The 26,508-nt window shown below is 40.0% G+C and overlaps 1 protein-coding gene across 6 annotated transcripts in view, besides 1 other annotated feature; it reads left to right on the top strand.

Moving 5' to 3' along the window:
* BLTP3B (bridge-like lipid transfer protein family member 3B) overlaps positions 1–26,508 on the top strand; it is a 105,803-nt gene that overhangs the window by 623 nt on the left and 78,672 nt on the right. Inside the window, exons 1-2 of one of the 6 annotated variants that reach the window (XM_047428554.1) lie at positions 487–581; positions 13,527–13,672. The exons of the other annotated variants lie outside the window; for them this stretch is intronic. The gene's annotated coding sequence lies outside the window, so the exon portion shown is untranslated. Of the gene's footprint in view, positions 1–486; positions 582–13,526; positions 13,673–26,508 lie in introns of those variants that run through there. 6 annotated transcript variants of the gene reach the window in all.
* Positions 3,352–3,501: a silencer, noted in NCBI's record as "silent region_4761". NCBI's record gives its function as "represses an Ori minimal core promoter by ATAC-STARR-seq in GM12878 lymphoblastoid cells {active_cell/tissue: GM12878}" and the evidence as "EXISTENCE:reporter gene assay evidence [ECO:0000049][PMID:35858748]".

The following is a 26,508-nucleotide window of genomic DNA, read 5'->3' as shown; positions in this document are numbered from 1 at the left end:
TGGCGTCACCCAAGTGCCTGGTTAATGTGCTGGGCTCTAACTCGAGTTCGGTGCTCCTTCCCCTTGGAGCAGAGCGGTTCCGTTAACCGAGGGCTTCTGGCGCAGTGTGGACGCTCAGTGGAGGCTGTGTTCTCAGTGGAACGTTAACCTTGTGATTGTTCTGAATTCCTCCCACCTTGGCGTTCCCGCTCTGTGGCATCAGAGGGTGTGCCTGTTTGCACAGTTAGGATTTGTTTTAGGTAAATAAGCAGAGTTCGCAGCTTTGGCAGGTTCTTTCTGGAGTCCTATGAGACCCACATCATTATTACTGAACATTTTTTTTTTTTGGTTTTTGCTCTTTTTCCTCTGCAACTCTAAAATTCAGGGAGTTAACATCTGTGGTGATTAAACCCAAGACATGTCATTCTCTCCATTTCATAACGCGGTTTTAGTCAGAAACATGACTCAGTAAGGCTGGCAGTTTGTTACTGCTCTTGGCTTCTCCGTGTTTGTCTCAAGACACAGGCTAAATGTAGGCTCTTGTTCCAAGTTGTTACCAGCGAACTCAAAGCCCTTGGTTAGGATCCCTTTCTGTTCGATTTGTAAGTTAATTTTAACTAATTTTGGGAAGACACGGGTATGATTATAGACTTGTATAGTAAACATAATTCTTGATTCCCCAGATTGTCTTATACCACAGGTTATATATTGGGAACAGAATTCTACTTCTGTGATTCAGCAAATATTTTCCTCACTTATAATACTGAATAAGATATAGCACTTTTCTTAAAAGTAGCAAAGTATAGCAGCGTGTGTGTGTGTGTGTACATATATATACATATGTACATATATACATATACATATATACACATATATACACATACATATATATGTGTACTACATATATATGTGTATACACTACACATATATATGTGTATATATGTAGTATTTTTTTAGTAGAGACTGGGTTTCACCAGGCCAGGCTGGTCTTGAACTCCCAACCTCAGGTGATCCGCGGTCCTCGGCCTCCCAGAGTGCTGGGATTACAGGTGTGAGCCCCCACGCCCTGCATGAATATGTATTTCTTAATGTTATCACTCATTGAAAAGTTTCTTTTAAAATTATATATATGGCCCAATCTTGAACTATCTTATTTTGGAAGGTTTTATCTATTTTTAATTTATGTCCTCCCGCCTTTCTCATACCCAGCTCCACAAGAAAATACAGATCTGCAGAAAATGATTTGAATGCCTACTTTCTCACTCGTCCAAGGATGATGCTGCATAGCTAGTACCACTCTAGATGCTTGGAAGAAAAGTTAATTCAATCAACAGATAGTGCATTAGAGTTTAATTCTTTTATAGAACTCCATTTGAGAGGGGCTCTTAAAAATTAAGAGCATGCATACCAAAGTATAATAAAAAAAATTAAGAACAAAGATGTAATGGCTTACTGCATGAGATAGAAAACACCCATATATTGAAAATTGAGTCTTTAGGGCTAGTTTTTATTTTATTTTATATATATATATATATATATATATTTTTTTTTTTTTTTTTTTTTTTTTTGAGACAGAGTCTCACTCTGTTTCCCAGACTGGAGTGCAATGGCATGATCTCGGCTCACGGCAGCCTCTGCCTCCTGGCTTCAATCAGTTCTCCTGCCTCAGCCTCCCGAGTAGCTGGGATTACAGGCATGCGCCACCACGCCTGGCTAATTTTGTATTTTTAGTAGAGACAGGGTTTTTCCATGGTGGTTAGGCTGGTCTCAAACTCCCAACCTCAGGTGATCCGCCTGCCTTGGCCTCCCAAAGTGCTGGGATTACAGGTGTGAGCCACCGTGCCTGGCCCTTAGGGTTAGTTTCTAAATCTGTATGATTTGTAATAGCTGTGTGATAAATAGTGTGATGAGGATTTTTTTTTTTTTCAGAGATGAGTTTTTGGGACACTTGAGTTTTCAGTTATTTCATATTTCAAAACATCCTTAACTCAGGTGACTAAAGAGTATCAAATTTTTATTTTTGGTTAATAAGTTAATCTTACTGCTAATTGCTGTCATCTCCTAAGAAAAATAGTTATTCAGAAATCTAAAGGCAGCTCGTAATTGACAAAAGAAGGCAGGTGTTGTGATAAATTATAGTTACTCAGGAAGGAATGAACTTTTGAAATTACCTGGTTCAAGTTTAATTTTATAGAATATCCAGTAATGAAGATGTCACTACATTGACCTAGTGGTCTGGGATACAGTAGAATATAGTTTACCAGGAAATAGTTGAACATACTAGTTTCTAATACTAGACATCATGTGAGGCCTGTGTATGCAACCCATTGCACCTTCTCAAAGGTGACCTTTCCTGACCACAGAGTTTAAAATTGTGAGCCCCCATATTGCCAGTCCTCTTGCTTGCATTATTTTTCTCCATAGCACTCATGCTTGTCTGTCGTACATATTTATTTCTTTATGTATTTTTGTCTTTCTCCACTTAAATGTAGACTCTATGAGAGCAGGGATTTTTGTCTTGAGGCTGGCATAAAGTAGGTACTCAACAACTATTTGTTGCATGAATGTGGATACATAACATGAATGAGCTTACTTTCTCTTACATTGCTTTTTTTTACTGAGGCAAGACTACTGCCAATATTCTTATAGATTTGGGAATGACCAGTTTCCCTGTGGCTTTAGGAGGCAGTGAGTAATTGAATCATTAAATAAATGTGGTGCCTTTGGATCCTGGAAAATAACTAGGAAAATGACCTAGTTCTTACAGGGGTTTATATGAGGGGTCTTCCGGTAAGGAAATAACCCAGTTATTGTATGGGGGGAGGAGTTCTGCCAGTAAGGAGGAAGACTGTGAACCAACATGAGAAAGAGCTCTCATTTTTAGCCTTGAGGTTGAAATATAGTGCAGTTGCAAGATTAAAACCATCTTTGCCTGGATGAAGGGACTTGAGAAGCTGGTATGTTGGGAAAGTATGGAAGAGGAATTGTTCTTAAGAGATTAACAGATTCTTTAACTCAATGCTAAACTATTTGAGAACTGTAAATCTATATACTTGTTCCTTGCCTAATTGTTAGTTTGTATTCCAAACATCTCTCCAGTTGTTAATAAAAAGTTTATCTACTTGAAGAATCTGAAATGAGGACAAGGAGGTGTGTTGGTGGGATGGGGGAGCTTAGAGTAGTGACATTTTTCCAGAGTGAAACAGGAAAAGCTTTTGAAGGAGAAACTGCCCCGATTTTTCAAACTGTAATAGGACTGAATGTATTTTGGGAGGGTTTTCTAGGAGAGTAGTTTTTCACATGGGAATGGAAACTTCTAAAGAGAAGTCGTAACAAATGTGAGAAAGGAAATAAAAGCAGAAGCTACCTTTCAGCTCAAGACATTAGTGTGTGTGTGTGTGTGTGTATGTGTATGTGTATACACATGTACACACCTGTGAACAGGCGCTTGCAAATCGGCAAAGTGGACGTATATTTAATTAAGCCAGGACCTGAAAAGGGGTAGGGAAGTTTTGGATACAGACACTCTCTTCTCCTTCGCTCCCTTAGGCTAAGGGCATACTGTGCTCTGCACAAGGTTTCCTGGGAGTGGGAGTTGACTGGGCAGACATTCACCTCACCTCGGTGGAGTCATCGTATAGTTTAAAGCAGCAGTTGTCAACCAGGGTCAGTTTGTCTTGAGGTGACATTTGGCAGTGTCTGGAGATATTTTTAATTGTCAAGACTTGGAGGGGAGGGTAATACTACTGCCATCTAGTGAATAGAGGCCAGGGATGCTGCTAGACGTTCTACATTGCACAGCATATTCCCTCACAACAAATAATTATTTGCCCAAATGTCAGTAGTTCCGAGATTGAGAAACCAGCTTAAAGTGTACAGGTGTGTGTCGTATGATTGAGCTAGGGTTCTGTGCTAGTAAAGTTGTTTTGCCTGCAAACATCAGAAAGCTGATCTATTTAAGTAAAAAGGGAAATGTAACAGAAAGCAGAAGAATATCTGAACAACCAAATCAAGGAAAGAACAGGAACCAGCTAGCTCCTAGAATCTCATTGGAAGAGTTCTTGGACCTTCCTCTTAAAGTAGCAGCAGGGTTTTTTAACCTTGGCATCATTGGCATTTTGAAATAGATAGTTCTTTGTTGTGAAGGCTGTTCTGTGCATTGTAGGATGTTTAATGTCTCCAGACATTGCCAAATGTCTCATAGGAGGCAAAATTACTCCTGGTTGGGAGCTACAGCTTTAGAGTGCTGGCCTATCTTCCATAATTCCCAGTCTTTGATCTCTCCTGTCAGGTTTCAGAATCCCCTAGAGAGAAAGCCTTTGTGACCCAGTTTTGTCTACCCATGGTTCAATTAGCAATGGCAAAGGGTTGTACAGCAAAAATATGGTAATGGAGAGGGCTATTTTGAGTTAGGCTTGTTGCTCCATTAGTCATCTGTAATAGGCAGTGCACTAAATTAGATTTCCAAGGGCCTCATTTGCTACATTAAGGAAATTGAACTTTATCCTGGGGGTGAGGAGTGACTACTAATAAAGGTAAGAGGGATATGCTCATTAAAGCAGTCTTATTTTTGAAGTCTAGGGTTTAGGAGCAATATCTGGGGTGGAAATACGGAGTCTACAAATGGACTCTGAGTAACTTAAGTAGAAAATGGGGCCAGGTGTGGTGGCTCATGCCTGTAATCCAAGCACTTTGGGAGGCCAAGTCAGGCAGATCACTTGAGCCCAGCAGTTTGAGATCAGTCTGGGAAACATGATGAAAACTCTGTCTCTACCCCAAATACAAAAATTAGCCAGTCTCATAACCTGGTCTCAAAAAAGAAAAAAAGAATATTCATTATGGACATTCAGAAGGGTTAAACACATGCAGGATTTGGTGCCTGAATGGCAAAGTGATGAGAGGGATTAGAGTGCCTCACTTTGTGTTGATGGGATTGGCCACTAGATTGAGGATATATAAGGAAGGGGAGGAGAGGGCGGTAGCTGATAGCCTGGAGAGAAAAGGAAAGAACCGTCAAAGGATTGGGAATGCTATCTAGGTGGAAAAGTAATGGAGTAAAGGAATGAGATAATTGGAAGGGTTGGAGATTTTGTCTGAAACTGTCACATTGAAGTTTAAGATTTTAGAAGTGAAGTAGATCTGGTTTAGGAAAAGCTATCTGAGGCTGGGCGCCGTGGCTTATGCCTATAATCCTACCACTTTGGGAGGCTGAGGCGGGTGGATCACCTGAGGTCGGGAGTTCGAGACCAGTCTGACCAACACGGTGAAACCCTGTCTCTACTAAAAATGCAAAATTAGCTGGGTGTGGTGGCCCATGCCTGTAATCCCAGCTACTCGGGAGGCTGAGACAGGAGAATTGCTTGAGCCCGGGAGGTGGAAGTTGCAGTGAGCTGAGATCGGGCCATTGCACTCCAGCCTGGGCAACAAGAGCGAAACTCCATCTCAAAAAAAATAAAAAAAAAGAAAAAAAAGAAAAGAAAAGCTATCTGATATGGCCATAGAAGTGAGTTGCTGAAGAAAAGTTAAGGTGCATATAATTGGAGATCAATACTGCTAGGTCTAAAATCTTTCCAGTACTGACCATTCCTAAAAGGAAATGCAGTGTAGCTTATTTAGTCTGCCAGACATTATTTTTTCAAATGCTAACTTCACATCATTACTGATAGGCTAATATTTGTATCATAAACTTTTATGGTAAAGCTCAGTAAATAATTTTTGAGAGTTTATGTATTTAACGTTTTTGAGCACATATATATATATGCCACATAGTGGGCATTAGAGATACAAAGATGAGTAAGACATGGCTTCAGTTTGTGGGAAGCTTCAGCGATTCCTATTCTAATATAAGAAGCATGAGTAGGATCACTAACTGTAACCTATTTCTAAATTGGACTACTTGTCTGGCATTGCGGGTGATGTGAAAAAGGAAGAAAAAAATAAAAAAAATTTTATTGCTATATGAAATTTGTTAGATTTTGCAACTAGGAAAAAAACTGATTTAAATATTGTTTTTTGGATTATAAATTTACTTGAGTAGGTTTGAGGTGTTTTTTTTTTTTTTTGAGACAGAGTCTCGCTATGTTGCCCAGGCTGGAGTACAATGGAGCAATCTCAGCTCACTGCAACCTCTGCCTCCTGGGTTCAAGCAATACTCCTGCCCTAGCCTCCTGAGTAGCTGGGATTACAGACATGCACCACCACACCCAGCTAATTTTTGTATTTTTAGTAGAGACGGGGTTTCACCATGTTGGCCAGGCTGTTCTCGAACTCCTGACCTTGTGATCCACCCACTTTGGCCTCCCAAAGTGCTGGGATTACAGGCATGAGCCACCGTGCCTGGCTGACAGTATTCACTTTTAAATAATCTCTAATAATGTGGATTTTGACACTGTATGTACTAGTTGCTTATTTAAAATAATTTAATGAGTGCCTGCCTTGTACCAAATATTGTACCATACTGCTGGGGATGTAGCAGTTAACACACTAGGCAAAGATCCCTGCCCTCGTGGAGTTTACGTTTTAATCAGAAACAGATAGTAAGTACATAAATAGGTGAAATACTGTGTAAGTACAGTATATCAGTGTGTTAAATGCTACTGAAAAAGTAACATAGGGAAAGGGGATGAGAAGTACAATAAATTGGGGATGGAGTTTGCAATTTTAAATCTGGTGATTGGGAAGGCTTAATTGACAAAGCAATATTTGAGGCCGGGTGTGGTGTCTCACCTGTAATCCCAGCACTTTGGGAGGCTGAGGCGGGCAGATCACTTCAGGCCAGGAGTTTGAGACCAGCCTGGCCAACATGGTGAAATCCTGTCTGTACTAAAAATACCAAAATTGGCCGAGCGTGGTGGTGCGCACCTGTAGTCTCAGCTACTAGAGAGGCTGAGATGGGAGAATTGCTTGAGCCCAGGAGGCAGAGGTTGCAGTGAACTGTGATAGCACCACTACACTCCAGCCTGCAGAGTGAGACCCTGTCTCAAAAAAAAAAGAAAGAAAGAAAAAAAAGAAAGCAATATTTGAGAAGAGACCTGAGAGAGATAGTGGGAACAAATGCAAAGGGTCCAGAACTGGGAACTTGTTTGATATTTTGAAAACATACGAAGACCACCAATATAGGTGGAGAGAGTAAAGTGAGAAGAGGAAGATGCGATCAAAGAGAAAACAAGGGCCAGATCATGTGGGACCTTGTAGTGACTTTGACTTTTACTCTGAGATTGGAAGCCACTGGAATGCCTTGAGCCAAGGATCACTCTGGCAGCCATGTGGGAATTAAATAATAGAAGCACAAGGGCAGAAACAGGAACCCAATTAAGAGATGTTAACTATTTAGGTGAGAGAGAAATTGGATTGAACGAAGGCAGATGCAGTGGAGTTGTTGAGATAGTGATAGTCAGGTTCTAGGTGTATTTTGAAGGTAAAGGCAGGATTGACCGACAGGTAAGATGTGGATTGATAGAGAAGAGAGGAGAGCAGTAATGGGTGACCATCCAGAGTTTTTGACATAAGCAACATAAGCAATGGAAAAGGTGGAATTGCTATTAACTAAATCGGAAAATTGGAGAAGACTGCAGGAGGAGCAGGCTTATGGGAGAAGATCAGGAGTTTGTTTTGGATATGTTAAGTTGGATGAAAGTTCGATTTTTTTTTTTTTTTGAGACAGAGTCTCGTTCTGTTGCCCAGGCTGGAGTGCAGTGGCACAATCTCAGCTCACTGCAACCCCTGCCTTCTGGGTTCAAGTGATTCTCCTGCCTCAGCCTCCCGAGTGGCTGGAATTACAGGCAGCCGCCACCATGTTTGGCTAATTTTTTTTTACATTTTTTATTTTTAGTAGAGATGAGGTTTTATCATGTTGGCCAGGCTGGTCTCAAACTCCTGACCTCAAGTGATCCACCTGCCTCAGCTTCCCAAAGTGCTTGGGATTACAGGCCTGAGCCACTGCGCCCAGCCCAAATGTTAGATATTTAATTGGAGATGTCTTCTCTTTTATTTGTGATCTAATTTAGACTATACATGTTTTAGTCTGACAACAATGGAAGTATGTTTGTGGTTATCCTTTGGCTTATGCAATAAACAATTACTGGGAAGCGAATTGTGAGTTGAATTTTCAGGGGTGGATTTTTTGCTATTGTTGTTTTTTTTTATCCTTTTAAGTACATGCACTACAGTAGTCCTCCTCCATGGGCAGCACACTTCAAGACCCCCAGTGGATGCCTGAAACTGCAGATAGTACTGAACGATATGTATATTGTGTTTTTTTCTTTATGTACATCCCTCTGGTAAAGTTTAATTTATAAATTAGTCATGGTCAGAGATTAACAAAAACTAATATGTAATAGAAAAATTGTAACAATATCTGTATATTGTAATAAAAGTTATATGAATGTGATCTCTCTCTTTCTCAAGCTATCGTACTGTACCACAGGTAACTGAGACCGTGGAAAGGGAAATCTTGGGTAAGGGAGGACTACTGTATATAGCAGGTGTCTTTCTCTTTCATATTAATTTCCAACTAAAACCGGATACTGATTCTTGTTGGGTGCTTGGTCTAGGAGATGTTGCAATATTAGCATACTAGAATCCTGGAATCAGAAGGGATTTGTTCCTATCTCAGAGAAGGAAATTATTAAAACATTGACATTTGTGACTTGTCCAAGGTCTCACAGATAGTGTTGAATGGTAAAGTCACTGATCCAGTACCCTTTTCATTGATTTTTCTGTGCTGCCTATTAAGGTGTTTCCTACTCGCCCCCACCCCACCTCAACAGTTTGCTTTTCTTTTTACCCAGTTTTCAACACTACTCTTGTTTTACCATCCTGCTGTAGTATCCCTTAGGAGATTCTTTTATGACTTGAGAATCATTTGACTCTGCGGTCCTTTGAAGTTAGAGGAACATAATGTTTTGACTCAGCATTTCTTGAAAGTTGGGGGATGTCTCAGGCCATTTTATGTTGCTATAAAAGATTATGGGGCTGGGTAATTTATTTTAAAAGACAGGTTTTATTTGTTTATTTATTTATTTATTTTTTTGAGACACAGTCTCACTCTGTTACCCAGGCTGGAGTGCAGTGGTGTGATCTCGGCTCACTGCAAGCTCCGCCTCCCGGGTTCATGCCATTCTCCTGCCTCAGCCTCCCGAGTAGCTGGGACTACAGGCACCCACCACCACCCCCAGCTAAATTTTTTTATTTTTGTAGAGACAGGGTTTCACCGTGTTAGCCAGGATGGTCTCCATCTCCTGACCTCGTGATCTGCCTGCCTTGGCCTCTGAAAGTGCTGGGATTACAGATGTGAGCCACCACGCCCGGCCTATTTATTTATTTTTGAGACAGAGTTTACTCTGTTGCTCAGGCTGGAGAATAGTGGCACAATCTCAGCTCACTGTAACCTCCACCTCTCAGGCTTAAGCAATTCTTATGCCTCAGCCTCCGGAGTAGCTGGGATTACAGTCATGTGCCACCACGCCTGGCTAATTTTTGTATTTTTAGTAGAGATGGGGTTTCACCGTGTTGGCTAGGCTGGTCTCAAGACTCCTGGCCTCAAGTGATCCACCTGCCTTGGCCTCCCAAAGTGCTGGGATTACAGGCGTGAGTCACCACACCCGGCCAAAAAATAGGTTTATTTATAAAGAAAAGAGGTTTATTTAGCTCGTGGTTCTACTGGCTGAGAAGTTCAAGGGCATGGTGCTGGCTTCCAGATAGGGCTTTTATGCTGCATGACAACATAGTGGAGAAGGTAAGGGGAAGTGGACACTTAAAGAGGGCAGAGCCTGAGGGATGTCTTGGCTTTATAACAACCTACGCACGTGAGAACTACTTTATTTTCTGTGAGAACTTACTACTGCAAGAACAATACCAAGCCATTTATGAAGAATCTGCCCCCATGACCCAAACACTTCCTACCTACTAGGCGCCACCTCCCAACACTGTCACATTCGGGATCAGATTTCAACATGAATTTTGGTGGGGACAAATAAACCATATTGAGACTCTAGCGGGAAAACATAATGTCTTTTTTTCTTTTCTTTTTTTGAATAATTTTCCTTTTTTGCAGTATTACACTTTGCTTTAGTACTGCAGTTTAAACACTTTTTAAATAAGTTGATCTCTTATCAATTACATGTGTTTTAAATTCTGCATATTGTATGCTTAGGACAAATAATTTTTTTAACAGTGGGTGTGGCTGGGCACGGTGGTTCACGCCTGTAATCCCAGCACTTTGGGAGGCCAAGGCGGGTAGATCACCTGAGGTCAGGAGTTCGAGACCAGCCTGGCCAATATGGTGAAACCCCATCTCTACTTAAAAATACAAAAAATTAGCCGGGCATGGTGGCGCATGCCTGTAGTCCCAGCTACTCAAGAGGCTGAGGCAGGAGAATTGCTTGAGCCCAGGAGGCGGAGGTTGCAGTGAGCTGAGATTGTGCCCCTGGACTCCAGCCTGGGCAACAGTGAGACTCCACCTCAAAAACAAAACAAAACAGTGGGTATTAGTGGCTGGAGTTTAGTTTGAATGTAAGTTACAAGTAAAAGACTTTTGGTTATTTTCATAAGTGAAAATCGAGTAGTTATATTAAAATCAAGTTATTCAAATAAAATTGAAGCCAGTGTGATTCAGGATATAATTTATTGTTTGGTTTTTCAGACATTATATTCACTAATAGTTTGATTGACAGTTTATTGACTTATTTTAAGATTATTCCCAGCCAAGATGAATGTTGTGTATAAACTTTGAATTTCCATATTAGTCATAAACTAGGTTGAATTTGAACTTTATGCATATTTACTATTTTTCTACCCAAAAATACTACTAAGAAAGAGATCTGGCTTCTTTTTACCACTACCAGTATAGCATCAAATGTTTTCCTTTACTGTTGTCTATTTGTAAATCTTTAAAAAATTTTTTAAATAAATTAAAAATATATATATTTTAAAACTTTAAATTAATTAATTTTTTTTTTTTTTGAGACAGGGTCTTGCTCTGTCACCCAGGCTGGAGTGCAGTGGCATGATTACAGCTCACTGCAGCCTCAACTTCCCAGGCTCTAGCAATCCTCCCACTTCAGCCTCCTGAGTAGTGGGGACCACAGGTGTGCACCACCTTGCCTGGTGAATTATTGTATTTTTGGTAGAGATGGGATTTTGCCATGTTGCCCAGGCTAACCTCAAACTCTTGTATTTGGGAATAAACTTCATGATACCAGAAAATTCAGTGATTTTAAGATATGGCAAAAAACTCTTTCTCTCTCTCTCTCTCTCTCTCTCTCTCTCTCTCTCTCTCTCTCTCTCTCTCCCTCCCTCTCTCTCTCTCTCTATATATATATATGTATGTATGTATGTATGTATGTATGTATTTTTTTGAGATAGAGTTTCATTCTTGTTGCCCAGGCATGGAGCGATCTCAGCTCACTGCAACCTCCACCCCCTGGGTTAAAATGATTCTCCTGCCTCAGCCTCTCAAGTAGCTGGGATTACAGGTGCTTGCCACCATGCCCAGCCAGTATTTTTGTTTGTTTGGTTTTAGTAGAGACAGGGTTTCACCATTTTGACCAGGCTGGTCTCAAACTCCTGACCTCAGGTGATCCGCCTGCCTTGGCCTCCCAAAGTGCTGGGATTACAGGCATGAGCCACCGCGCCCAGCCCCAACTTGTTACTTTTGCTGTGCTGCAACTTTATATATAACTGAAATGCACTATAAAGAGGGGCATCCATAAAATGTAAGATTTATCTTATTTTTAAAGAATATAGGTATTACTGAGTATGATTTTGATTATCTCTTTTGGTAGATTGTTCATTCCTACCAGTACTTAAGGAAGGTTCTGTAAAATATACAAATAAAATTAAGATATAGGAATGTCTTCTGGAAACAGTCTGGTAGATGAGTGAATAAATAGAATTCAAGATAATGAATCTTATGAGAGAGTCACAAGCAAAACGCTATGCAACCTTAACAGAGAGACGGTGAAACAGAGGTGGTCTGAATGTCAGAAAAGCTTGTAAAGAAATAATGAAATGAGGCCGGGTGTGGTGGGTCACACCTGTAATCCTAGCACTTTGGGAGGCCAAGGCGGGCGCATCACTTGAGGTCAGGAGTTCAAGACCAGCCTGGCCAACATGGTGAAACCCCGTTTCTGCTAAAAATACAAAACAATTAGCTGGGTGTAGTGGCGCATGCCTGTAATCCCAGATACTCAGGAGGCTGAGGCAGGAGAATCACTTGAACCAGGAAGTGGAGGCTTCAGTGAACCGAGATCGTGCCACACTGCACTCTAGCCTGGGCAACAGAGTTAGACTCCATCCCAAGGGGGGGAAGAAAAAGGACATAAATGACAGCTTGAGAGTAATAAAATAGTTATTAAATCTATTTTCCTGGACTAGAGCGTGTATACAAAGGAAATATTTAAGGCAAATATCCAGAGAAGTTAAGGGTAATTTTTTAGGTCCTCCAAATTTGGCTGCAATTTTAATTTCCAATATTACAGTTTTCTCCTTTTTTTCCACCCATGTTTTGTTGTCTTATTCCTGCAGCCAGATTGTCTGTATCTCTTCATAATAGGCCTTCTTCTCTCAGCTTTATTTTAGTAGTACATTTTCCATGGGCAGCTTTAATGAGGCTAATCATTGGCCTCCTCCATTTTAAAACTCCTTTAGGTCTTAAAGCATATCCTGTTTGTTTTATTAAAACAAATGCCTTGTTTTTTGTTAATTGTGTGGATAGTCATCTCTTTAAGGGCAGAATCGCCCTGGCAATGTTTTAGAAGCCAGGGACTTTGCTTGTCTTGTTCACCGTTGTATCTTTAGCATCCGCCACAGGACTGCAGTACATAGTAGTTGTTCAAAAACATTTTTAACTGACTGGAGAAATAAATTTGTACTACTTTGGCCTCCATAGAATACATAGAACATAAATTGGTTGCTCTGAATACATTTTTGGCAGGTTTAACTAGTTGAATCATATCCGGAAAATTTAGATTAAAAGCTTTTCTCCCCCCACTATGAATACTATAGTTTTCCAATTTATTTTTGAGTATATAGATATGGCCTATTGCTGGATATCTCTTTGGTTTGTGGATTGTTTTTTATGGCTAGCTTTATGCCTCAGTATTCTCGGTGAAATGAGAATTACAGTTAAAAGTGGGGGTTTTGTCACTTAAACCAGTTTGATAATCTGTATGTGTAGACTGCTTGCTTTGTAGATTGCTTATCTTAATTGATTTCATTTAATGTAAATTATACAGTTCAGCTTTTGTATAACTTCTATGACATAGTATCTCATTTTTGTTAATTGACAGTTTAATATAAAATTAAAAAGATAATGTGAATGTAATTGGGGAGTAGTAGTAACAGTGACAGAGAAAATGAAGAAAATCTTAAATGGTTAATTCATCTTAGAATTTAGGCAGTTTGCCTTTAGTGAATCCAGTGTGAAATGCAACTGTTTTTTTTTTCCAAAGGGCACCACAGCTAAATTTTTTTAATCATCATTCCTTTCCTCTTCCTTCCCTTAAACTTGCTCCCTTCTGTGTCCCCTGTGTACCCATTCCCTGCAGCGTTCCCTGCTGGCTGTGGTGGAGATTGGTGTGCTGTGAATTGCATAATCACCCAAATGAGTACCAGAGGAGTCTAAGAAACCCTGGCAACTGACTGCTTGCTTTCACCAGGAATAGGGACCTTTTTCTGAATTTCCTGCCCTCAGGTAATACTTCTATTCCCCATGCTTTTTTTTTTTTTTCATTCTATAAATGCAAGCACTTAATATGCCCTGCATAAAGATACTTTGAGAATATTTTCTTACTGTTTTAGTCAGATACCTATTTCATTTTCTTTACTATGTAGCTAGAGGCTCATGTAATTCCTCTCTGAGTGTCTTCTCTTTCTTTTTTTTGAGACTGAGTCTCGCCCTGTAGTCAGTGTCTTTTCTAATAGATAAGGTTTGGCAACATACTTAAAGTTATAACCATCTCTTCCTGATGTTGCAAGAGAGTTTTGTAACTTCCTGCCAGCTGTTTGGAAATAGTAGTTAGCATTTGATCTACTTTTAAATGAATGGGTAAGGCTTCTTAGTCTAATGTAATTAGTGAGGTACAAAGTCTCCTTTGATAAAGAGGCTGTTTTGAATAATTCATTCATCATTGAGGGATTTAAGAATTTATTTTGTGTATTTAATGATAGTTATCTTTATCAAAGAGATTGAAATAAGTCTCACAAACAGCAGTGCAAATGGGATTCTTTTTTTGTTTTTTGAAGTGGTAGGGGTGGTGGGGGGAAAAGGTGTTGCTCTGTTGCCCAGGCTAGAGTGCAGTAGTGCAGTCACAGCTCATTATAACCTCAAACTCCTGGTCCCCAGTTATCCTCCTGCTTCAGCCACCAGAGTAGCTGGGACTACAGGCATGTACCCCATGCCTGGCTGAGTTTTTAAATTTTTATAGAGATGAAGTCTCACTATGTTGCCCAGGCTGGTCTCAGAGCTCCTGGGCTCAAGCAGTCCCCCCACCTAGGCCTCCCAAAGTGCTAGGATTACAGGTATGCACCAGCATGCTCTGCCAGGATTCATTTTTGAAGAATTTAAGGGTTTTACAGCATTCTCTTCTACCCTCTCCTGTCTTTTTAAAAATTTCATTATCAGGGAAAGCAATTATGTTATAAAACCAGGTTATTGGAAATGGTGCTGAATTTCTTTCAATTTAGGACTCAATGAAAAACCTAGAAACTCATATCACTGAATACTTCTAATTCTTGGGAAATTTATCCACATAAATACTTTGAACTTCCAAAAGTCTTGTAATAAATTGTTAATTAAATGCCACAAGTAGAATTGTGCAACTTATTACATACTTACCTAAGAGTAATGGACAAATGAGAAACTTATTGGCTATATGCTAAAGCAATTGTATAGGCCTAGTGGCCTAAATATTGTTTTACGTTCTTGCCTGCATTGATTCCATGCTTTCATTTGGGAACCTGGATCTCAAACAGAATTGCCAAGGGAAAGGTGCCAAGCTTTAACCTCAGGTGGAAACCTTTGAGATTCACTTTAGTATATTAATAGTTAAGGTCTTTTATTGTTTAAAATGGCTTTCAAGGATGGTTCTGATTTTGTGTATACCTCTAGCAAATCCTCTGAGACGCTTGCTCGTGAAGTATAATCACAAGTGTAGCCCTTTGTTTTTTCTAGATTATACCTCCTTAAAACATATCTTTTTTTTTTTTTGGCCTGGTTTATGCTTAGCTTATTCAAGGTGAAGTGTTATGATTGTATTCCAAGTTTTAACCACAGCTATCCATGTGTTTATTCAAATCACCTACCAAGATTCATTCCTTTTTCTTCTTTACCTTCCTGTTTTAATCAGTCATGATTACTTTATATTGAAATAACTATTGAACTTATCTTCTTTATCCTAAACCTAGGACATAGCAGGCTGCTTGGAATAAAGTAGATATCAGTAAGATTTGAATATCTCTCATCACCAGATTTCATTAATTATTTATTGCATCAGTTGTTGCAACTAAACACTGAGTATTTTCATCTCCTTTGGGTCTCATACTTCTGTATTCCATCCTTGGCGCTGTTAAGAGAAAGATGTTTCCAAAATGCTAATCTTAACATTTAATTTCTTGCTAAAAATCTTTTAATGGCTCCTGTTTAAGCTTTTTTTTTAATAAAAAATTTTGTTTATAACAGTAGAATTTTTGTGCCCAAAGAGATTTTAAAAGAGAACTTTACTACATAAAGTAGACAAAAGTAGAGCTCCTCTAGTTGAGTCAGTAATTGGATGGTGGGTGGTGGTGGTTCCTTTGGCATATTCTTTCTTTTTTTTTTTCTCCTCTCACTTGAGTTGAACCATGAGCAGTCTTCTTAGGGGCACTGTGGGAAAAACATTGATGTGTAGGTTAAAACCCATATTCGTTGGCTTGGAAAACAAGAGTCCTTCATGATCTGGCTTCAGTTGGCTTCTCAAGGAATATTGTTTCTTTCCAAACTACCTGAGGCCTTATCTTACATCTGTGTCTACTGTGTGACCCTGTAATCTTGAACGTGCTGCTGCTGCCGCCTCTGAAATGTCCTTCTCTCTGCCTTATTCACTTGACAAAAACTTACTGTTTAAAAACGTAGCTTGAGTGCTGCCTACTTTTATGAAGCCTTCCCAAAGTCTTCTTTACTATTTTCTTTATTTTAATAGATAGCCTTACTCTTTTGCCCAGGCTGTTCTCAAACCCCTGGGCTCAAGTCATCCTCCCACCTCAGCCTCCCAAAGTGTTGGGATTACAGGCGTGAGCCACTGCACCTGGATATCTACTTTACTGTTAAGAGAATTGATCATCACCCTTTTCCTTGTGATTCCATTTTATCCTGTTGCCATTTTTATTGTATGACCTATCACATAGTACCCAGCACATAGTAAGATCATAACATATTGCAATGATTTATTTATATGCTTGCTTCTAATAATAAAATGTGAAGTTCTTGAAAAACAGTAACTATTTCTTATTTGTTTAAATTTCCCAAGAGCCTAATGAGTGACTGGCAAATAGTAGGCACTCAGTTTTTGCTATGAAGGATATATGTCTAGTTGTGTCAGATCTTCTGATATTTCAATAAAATCTGGATGCCCATATTTTCTGCCCTGCCCTGCTCCCCTCACTCTGTTGCCCATGCTGGAGTGCTATGGCGTGATCACAGCTCACTGCAGCCTTGACCTCCCAGGCGTAAGTGATCCTTCTGCCTTACCCTCCCAAGTAGTTGAGACCACAGGTACACCACCATGCTCGGCTAATGTTTTATTTTTTCTAGAGATGGGGTCTCCCTATGTTTCCCAGACTGGTCTCAAACTCTTGCCCTCAGGTAATCCTCCTGCCTTGGGCCTCCCAAAGTGTTGAGATTGTAGTCGTTAGCCACCATACCCAGCCTGATGCCCAGATTTTTTTTTTTTTTTTTTTTTGAGATGGAAACCGGTCGCTCTGTCACCCAGGCTGGAGTGCAGTGGCGCAATCTTGGCTCACTGTAGCCTCTGCCTCCCGGGTTCTAGCGATTCTCCTGCTTCAGCCTCCCTGAGTAGCTGGAATTACAGGCGTGTGCCTCCATGTCTGGCTAATTTTTGTATTTTTAGTAGAGACGGGGTTTCACCATGTTGGCCGGGCTTATCTGGAACTCCTGACCTCGGATGATCCGCCCATCTCGGCCTCCCAGAGTGCTGGGATTACAGGCGTGAGCCACTGTGCCCGGCCTCAATGCCCAGATTTTAATGTAAGGTCTACCCATATATATATATATATGGACCTTAATAAATAAATATAAATATATATATATATATATATATATATATATATATATATATATAAAATTTTTTTTTTTTAAGGCAGGGTCTCACTCTGTCACCCAGGTGGGAGTATAGTGGTGTGATCATAACTCAATGCAACTTTTAACTCCTGGGATCAAACGATCCTTCTGCCTCAGCCTTCCAAGTGGCTAGGACTACAGGTGTGTGCCACCATGCCCAGCTAATTTTTATTTTTATTATTATTATTTTTTGAGATGGAGTCTCACTCTGTTTCTCAGGCTAGAGTGCAGTGGAGCAATCTTGGCTCACTGCAACCTCTGCCTCCTGGGTTAAAGTGATTCTCCTGTGTTAGCCTCCTTGAATAGCTGGGATTACAGGCGCGTGCCATCACGCCCAGCTAATTTTTTTGTGTTTTTAGTAGAGATGGGGTTTCACAATGTTGGTCAGGCTGGTCTCGAACTCCTGAGCTCGTGATCTACCCTCCTCAGCCTCCCAGAGTGCTGGGATCACAGGCGTGAGCCACCATGCCTAGCTAATTTTTATTTTTTTTAATATTTTGTAGAGACAGGATCTCTGTGTTGCCCAGGCTGGTCTCAAACTCCTGGTGTCAAGCAGTCCTCCTTGCCTCAGCCTCCCTTAGTGCTGGGATTACAGGCGTGAGCCACTGTGCCCTGCCTAGGTCTACCCATTTTTAATGGTTTTTATTTATTTATTTGAGAGACAAGGTCTCACTCTCTCTCCCAGACTGGAGTGCATGGTGTTATCATAGTGCACACTTAAATGCAGCCTCAAACTTCTTGGCTCAAGTGATCCTCCTGTCTCAGCCTCTGAAGTAGCTAGGTCTACAGGCATGCACCACCATGCTTGGCTAATTAAAAAAAAAAAAAAAATTCTCGTAGAGATGGGGTCTTGCTATGTTTCCCAGGCTGATCTTGAACTCCTAGCTTCAAGCAGTCTTTCTGTCTTCGGCCTTCCAAAGTGTTGTGGGTACAGGCATGAGCCACAATGCCTATCCTATTTTAAAGGTTAACAACAAATTGAGATTTTTAAAAACACTGTGTGGGCCAAATAGTATCTGTGGGCAGACAGCTCACAGGCTGCCAGTTTGCATTCTTTCATTCTTTAAATGTTTATTTGGAAAAACTGGTTATATGAGATTGATTTTTTTTCATTACACGCATAATTACAAAAATAACCAAGCCAGACAAACTCTGTGTAAATTGAGAATGCATTTAAAAAAAAAAAGGCAGTTTAAACCATTGGGAGCATACTTTGATTCTTGTTCCATTAATATTTTAGGTTTTAGTTTAAAAAATTTATGCCTTGACGTTAATCAAACTCAAAGAGCCTGTCCGTCAGAAGTTCTGGAGGCCCAGACTTGCAATGGGTTTGGTGGGCAAGGACTGGGGTGACGGAGGGCAGTCTTGGGACTGAGCCCTCAGCCTGTGGGATTTGGGATCTGATACCATCTCCAGATAGACAGTGTCTGAACTGAATTAGAGGGCACACAGCTGGTGTCCACTGCTTGGTGTGTGGGGGAGAAAACTCCACGCACACGGTCACAGAATTTTTCTGTGTTGATGATTATTGTTGTGTGAGCAGAGGAAAAACATCGTTAGAGAGTTTCCCTATACACTACAACACTCAGTTCCTTCTAAAATACCATTTTTTTAAATTGTTTTTGGCTCTGTCTGCCCTGACTATAGTAAGCCCTATAGGGCAAAGATCTTTGTCTGTCTGTTCTCTCATACATCCCAAGCACCCAGATTGGTGTCTGCCACATAGTAGGTCCTCAGTTAATATTTGTTGAATGTACAATACCTTTAATCTCTCAGACACTCTGCTAGGGACTGAGGACAAGATCCCTGCTCTCTTGGAGCTGATCTTCTAGTTGGGGAGAGGCAAACATGTAAGAAGGCAAGTAATTGCAAATTCTAATAGACCAGGAAGATCAAAGTGGATGAAGCGAGCAGAGCATGGGATGGGAGGAGAGAGGAGAGAAGCTGCTCTGAAGGGGTGATGAATTAGGGTAAACCTAAGAGATGAGAAGGATGAGAGGGTGAAAAGCATGCCAGGCACAGGGAGCTGCATGTCCAACTGTTCTCAGGGGAGAAAGTTTGGCCTTCTCTAGGAACAGACGGAGAGAAGGCAAGGGATCCTAAGGGAGATGGTGCAAGGGCTTTTGGGGAGTTTGGGGTTTATCCAAAATGTAGTAGAGAAGAGGGTTCTTGAAGAGTTTTCAGCAGGGATGGGACATGTGGGATTTGTGTAAAGCAGGGAGCAAACTATGGCTCAAGGGCCTGCTTTGGCTCACTGCCTGTTTTTGGAAACAAAGTTTTATTGGATCACAGACACACCATTAGTTTTCTTAGGAGCTACAAAGGCAGAATTTATGAAAAAAGAAAATGTTTATGCCTGGAATATATGCTAAGTCTTACAAATTTACACTGAAAGCTCCTTGAGGGTAAGAGTTGCCATATATTGCTACAATGCCTAGTAAATGCTCAGTAAATATGGTTGAACTGAAAATTTATCAGTATGATAATGGAATGGTAACTGATCCTAAAATACCTCTTAAACTAAAATTGTACAGGTTTGATTATAGTCTGGGCTCTACTTTAGTGTGACCTTCAGCATTTGACTTAACCTCTCTAGGCTTCATATTCTCTACTATAAAATGAGGAGGTTGGATTAAATTATTTGATATTCTTTGTAGTATGAGGACTGCCTATGGCTCCACTTTTTTAAGCTTAAAATTGCTTCTAATATCTCCATTGGATGGCAGATGCAATGGGGTGGTTTTCAAAAGGCCATGGTTCTAATACCTTATATATTTTTATTCCATTGTATTTTATTAATAGTTAACAAGTTCATTTATTTTATTTTATTATTTGAGATGGAGTCTCACTGTGTTGCTCAGGCTGGTCTGGAACTCCTGGGCTTAAGTAATCCCACCTTAGCCTCCTGAGTATCTGGGATTACAAGCAGGCACCACCATGCCTGGCTAAATTCATTATTTTTTAAGATATTTATATATACACATATATGTGTGTGTATATATATAGTATGTATATATCTTATTTGAACAGCTTTATTAAAATATAACTGATTTATAGGCAATACACTGCACATATTTAAGGTGTACAATTTGATGACTTTTTTTTCTTGAGACGGACTTTCGCTCTTGTTGCCCAGGCTGGAGTGCAGTGGCACGATCTCAGCTCACCGCAGCCTCCGCCTTCTGGGTTCAAGCAATTCTCCTGCCTCAGCTTCCCAAGTAGCTGGGCTTATAGGCGGGCGCCACCACGCCCGCTAATTTTGTACTTTTAGTAGAGACAGGGTTTCACCATGTTGGTCAGACTGGTCTCAAACTCCCGACCTCAGGTGATCCGCCCTCCTTGGCCTCCCAAAGTGTTGGGATTACAAGCTTGAGCCACCATGCCTGGCCTGATGAAATTTTAACATATATGTAATCATAATACCATTACCATAATTAAGAAAATGAATATTCACCACCCTCAAAAGTTTCCTCATGCTCCTTTGTAATCCTCTCTCTCCTTCTGCCTCATTCCTGGGCAACCACTGATCTACTTTATATCACTTAGGTTAGTTTGCATTTTCTGTTTTTTTTTTTTTTTTTTTCCATGAGATGGAGTTTCACTCTTGTTGCCCAGGCTGGAATGCAGTGGCACTATCTCAGCTCACTGCAACCTCCACCTCCCAGGTTCAAGTAATTTTCCTGCCTCACCCTCCCGAGTAGCTGGGATTACAGGCATGTGCTACCACACCCCACTAAAAATTCTGTATTTTTAGTAGAGGCAGGGTTCCTCCATGTTGGTCAGGCTGGTCTCAAACTCCTGACCTCAGGTGATCCGCCCACCTCGACCTCCCAAAGTGCTGGGATTACAGGCGTGTGCCACTGTGCCCGGCCTAGTTTGCATTTTCTAGATTTTTATATAAATATGCATTTTTTCCTGGCTTCTTTCACTCAGCATTATTATCTTGCAATTAATCTATTTTATCGTATGTGTACATTCTTATTGCTGATTATTCTATTGTGGATATACCACAATTTATCCGTTTACCTTTTGATAGATATTTGGGTTGTGTCCGTTTGTCAGCTATTAGAAATAAAGCTATTATGAACATTCGTGTATAAATCTTCGTGAGGACATAGGCCTTTCTCTCTCTCTCTCTCTCTCTTACATAATTGTATGTGCTATGTTTTCATATGAAGGTCCTAAGCTTTTCATTCCTTTTAAGTAAATTCTTAGTAGTAGAATGGTTAGGTATATGCTAGGTATATGCATCACTTTAAAAACAAATTCCAAACAGCTTTCCAAAGTGGTTTCAACTTGTTCATTTTACATTCTCACAAATACGTATATGAGAGTTCCAGTTGCTCCATATCTTCACCAATACTCAGTATAGTTAGCCTTTTTAATTTTAGCTATTTTAGTGGATAAGTAGTGGTATCTTACTGTGGTTTTTAATTTGCAGTTTTCTAATGACTAATGTTGGGCATCTTTTCAAGTGCCTATCTGCCATCTGTGTCTTCTTTGGTTCCAAGGTCCCTTTAAATCTTTTGCCTATTTTATTTTTTATTTTTATTTTTTTCTTTTTTGAGATGGAATCTTGCTCTGTCACCCAGGTTGGAGTGCAGTGGTGCGATCTTGGCTCACTGAAACCTCCACCTCCTAGGTTCAAGCAATTCTGCCTCAGCCTCCCGAGTAGCTGGGATTACAGGCGCCTGTCTCACGCTCAGCTAATTTTTGTATTTTTAGTAGAAATGAGGTTTTGCCATTTTGGCCATGCTGGTCTCAAACTCCTTATCTCAGGTGATCCGCCCGCCTAGGCCTCCCGAAGTGCTGGGATTACAGGCGTGAGGCACCACGCCCAGGCCTTTTGCCTGTTAGTGAATTGTCTTACTTTCAAGTTGTAAGAATTTAAAAAAAATTGTAGGTACAAGTCTTTTTTCAAATATATGCTTTGGAAATATTTTTTCCCAGTCTATGGTTGCCCTGTAGTTACAGTGTCTTTCAAAGGGCAGAGGTTTTAATTTTGATCCACTAACTTATTTTTTTCTCCTATGATTTGTGCATTTTTTGTTGCGTTAAATCTACCAAACTCAAGGTTACTAATATTTTCTTCAGGAGTTTTTAAGTTGTAGTTCTTAGATTTAGGTCTGTGATAATTTAGAGTTAATTTTTGTTTATGGGGTGAGGTAAAGGTCAAGGATTTTTTTGTTTTTTGTTTTTTTTGCATATGGCTGTAACATCATTCTGGTACCACTTCTTAAAAATATTATTTTCATTGACTTGTTTTTGCACCTTTGTTGGAAATTAGCTAACCATGAATTTGGGTCTTTTTCTGGACTCTGTATTTTGTTGCATTTATTATTTATTTACACCCACCATTATCAGACTGCCTCGATTACTGTAGCTTTTAGATAAGTCTTGAAATTGGCAGTATAATGTTTCCAACTTTGTTCATCTTTTTCAGAGTTATTTTGGATATTCTAGGTCTTCTACATTTTCATGAAAATTTTAGAATCAGTATGTCATTTCTCTCAAAAAAGAAGCCTGCTTGGGTTTTGCTTAGGGTTGCCTTGAATCTGTAAGTCTTTTTGAGAGAATTGATGACATTTTAACAGTATTGAGTTTAATCCACTAATATGTTTTATTTCTTCATTTATTTAGATCTTCTTCAATTTCTTGCAACAGTATTTTGTAGTTTTCAGTTTCTAGGTCTTGCACACCTTTTGACAAATTTATCCCTAAAAATTTCATATTTCTTATGCTAATGTTAATGGTAGTTTAAAATATTCAGTTTCTGATTGTTGCTACATATAGAAACATAATTTATTTATTTATTTTTTTATTTTATTTCATTTTTGAGACAGAGTCTGGCTCTGTCGCCCAGGCTGGAGTGCAGTGGCGCGATCTCGGCTCACTGCAACCTCCGCCTCCTGAGTTCAAGCAATTCTCCTGCCTCAGCCTCCCGAGTAGCTGGGACTACAGGTGCATGCCACTAAGCCCAGCTAATTTTTGTATTTTTAGTAAAGACAGAGTTTTACCATGTTGGCCAGGCTGGTCTTTGAACTCCTGACGTTGTGATCTGCTCGCCTTGGCCTCCCACAGTGCTGGAGTTACAGGCATGAACCGCAACACCCAGCTGATTTCTTTATTATAATTTTTATTGAGTGAAATTTACATACAATAAAATGAATAAACTTTCCATAATCAGCTCTGATTTTTTAAAAATAAGCTTTTAATCTTAGAATAGTTATGGATTTATAGAAAGGTTGTGAAGATAATGCAGAATTCTCATACCCAACATTTAGTCTCTCTTACTATTAGCATTTTACATTCATATGGTTCATCACAATTAACTAATGTTGATAATTATTATAGGCCATACTCTGTTCAAATTTCCTTAGTATTTCTTTTACCCAATGTCCTTTTTCTATTCCATGGTCCCATTCCAAATATATTACATTTAGTCATCATGTCTTTTTAGGCTCCTCTTGGTTGTGCCCATTTCTCAGACGTTCCTTGTTTTTGAAGACCTTGAGAGTTTTTTGTTTTGTTTTGTTTTGTTTTGTTTTGAGACGGTCTCACTCACTCTCCCAGACTGGAGTGCAGTAGTGTGATTATGACTCACTGCAGCCTCAACCTCCTGGGCTTAAGCAGTCCTCCTGCCTCAGCCTCCTGAGTAGCTAGAACTACAGGCATGCACCACTACACCTGGCTAATATTTTATTTTTTTGGAGAGGCATAAGCCACCGTGCCCAGCCAACCTTGAAAGTTTTGAGGAGACCTGGCCACGTGTTTTGTACAGTGTCCTTCAATTGGGGTTTGTCTGCTGTTTTCCTTTAAAAAAAATACAAAAATTTATATAAAATTACTCATTTTTTTTTCTGGGACCAAGAGAAATGCCAATTTCAACTGTGTCAAGATATCTTTGGTTGCTCTATAAAATCGATACACATAAGTCCAGGATTGATAAGAGTAGTATAAAAAAGGCATTCTTTGTATCTCCTCCACGATAAATCTGTGATTTTAAATCTGATGCATATAAATGAGTCCCCCAGATAACTTCCTAAAATGGAGATTTCTAGGCCCTGCTCCATATCAAGAGCACCAGAATCTCTGGGAATGGGCTTGAAATGGAGTAGTTTTAAAAAGCACCCCAAAGGTCAGGTGCGGTGGCTCATGCCTGTAATCCCAGCACTTTGGGAGGCCACAGCAGGAGGATTGCTTGAGCCCAGGAGTTTGAGACCAGCCTGGGCAACACAGCGAGACCCCATCTCTACAAAAAAATTAAAAATGAGCTGGACGTGGTGGTGCTGGGCATGTTGAGGAGGTCAAGGTGGAGGCAGGGGAGGTGGAGGCAGGGGAGGATCTTAGGAGGTCGAGGCAGGGGAGGATCACTTGAGCCCAGGAGTTCAAGGCTGCAGTGAGCTGTGATCACACCACTGCCCTCCAGCCTGGGCGACAGAACGAGACTGCCTCAAAATAAATAAATAAAAAGTTCTGCAGGTAATTCTGAAGTCACTAGTGTATGTCTACCCTTTTTCTTAGGATTAGATTGGCATTAGGGGTTTTTGGCAAGGAGACCACAGAGGTTAGTTAAGAGCTCTTTTTATTATGTCAAATCAGGGGTACATATTATCAACATGTCTTATTGCCGATGTTGACGTTGATAACCTGGCTGATGTAGCATTTGCCAAGTTCTCCACTGTAAAGTTATTCTTTTCCCCATTTTCTTACTGAACATTTTGGAAGGAAGTACTATGTGCAGCCCTCACTAAAAGAATGAGGAGTTATGCTCCACCTCCCTGAGACTAGAATATCTATGTAATTTTTTTGGAACTTTTCTGCCAGGAAGATTTCTCTATTTTCTCCAAGTTATTTATTTATTTAATCATATGTTTATATTAGTGTAGACTTCTGTATTTTTGTTTTATAGTTTGTGTTATTATCCAGTACTGTTTTATTTATTTTGTTGCTCAGATTCTTTCAGCTTTGGCTATTGGTAATTCTTTCTTACGGCTCCTCTGTCCCTTCAACTGATTTATTTTTATATTGGCCTTATATCCTGCAACATTGCTACACTCATTTTTTAGTTCTGGCAATGTCTTTAATAATTCTGTATGATTTTCTACACAGGTGATCATGTCATCTGGGAAAAAATAATTTTACTACTTTTCAAAACCAGATGCCTTTTATATATTTTTCTTACCTTATTGTGTTGGCTAGAACCTTCAATACATTGTTGGAAAAAAGTGATGAGAGCAAACACCCTTGCCTTGTCCCTGTCTTAGGGGAAAAGCAATTTTAGTCTTTTCTCATTACACGTAATTTTAGCTGTAGAGTTTTTGTAGATGTCCTTTAGAGTTTTGGGGAAGTTCTCTTCTGTTCCTGTCTTGTTGAGAGTTATTTTTTCATGAATGGGTGTTGACTTTTGTAAAATGCTTTTTTGGGCTCTATTGAGAACATGATGTAATTTTACCTTTTTTTTTCTTTTCTTTTTTTTTTTTTTTTTTGAGACAGGATCTTGCTCTGTTGCCCAGGCTGGAGTGTGGTGGTATGATCTAGGCACCAACTCCACCTCCTGGGCTCAAATAGTCCTCTCACCTCAGCCTTCTGAGTAACTTGGACTACGGGCCCCTGCCACTATGCTTAGCTAACTTTTAATTTTTTGTACAGATGAGGTCTCACTACTTCTGGGCTCAAGCCATCCTCCCACGTCAGCTTCCCAAAGTGTCAGGATTACAGCCGTGAGCCACTGTGTCTGGCTAGATTTTACTTTTTTTTTTTTTTTTGAGACAGTCTCATTCTGTCACCCGGGCTGGAGTACATTGGCACCATCTCGGCTCACTGCAACCTCTGCCTCCTGGGTTCGAGTGATTCCCCTGCCTCAGCCTCCTGAGTAACTGGGATTGCAGGTGTGCACCACCACACCCAGCTAACTTTTTTTGTATTTTTAGTAGAGATGGGATTTCATCATGTTGGCCAGGCTGGTCTTGAACTCCTGACCTTAGGTGATCCGCCTGCCTTAAAGTGCTGGGATTACAGGCGTGAGCCACCTCGCCTGGCCTAGATTTTACTTTTAATGTGGTGAATTGCATTAGTTGGTTTTTGGTTTTAAACCAGCCCTCATTTCTAGAATAAACACTTGGTCAAGATGTATTATACTTGTGTGTTTTTTTTGTTTTTTTGTTTTTTTTTCCCAGACAGGATCTCACTCT

Source organism: Homo sapiens, chromosome 12, assembly GCF_000001405.40.
Source record: "Homo sapiens chromosome 12, GRCh38.p14 Primary Assembly".
Lineage (NCBI taxonomy): Eukaryota > Metazoa > Chordata > Mammalia > Primates > Hominidae > Homo > Homo sapiens.
Note: the sequence above shows the minus strand (reverse complement) of the source record. Positions and strands in the feature narration are given on the sequence as shown.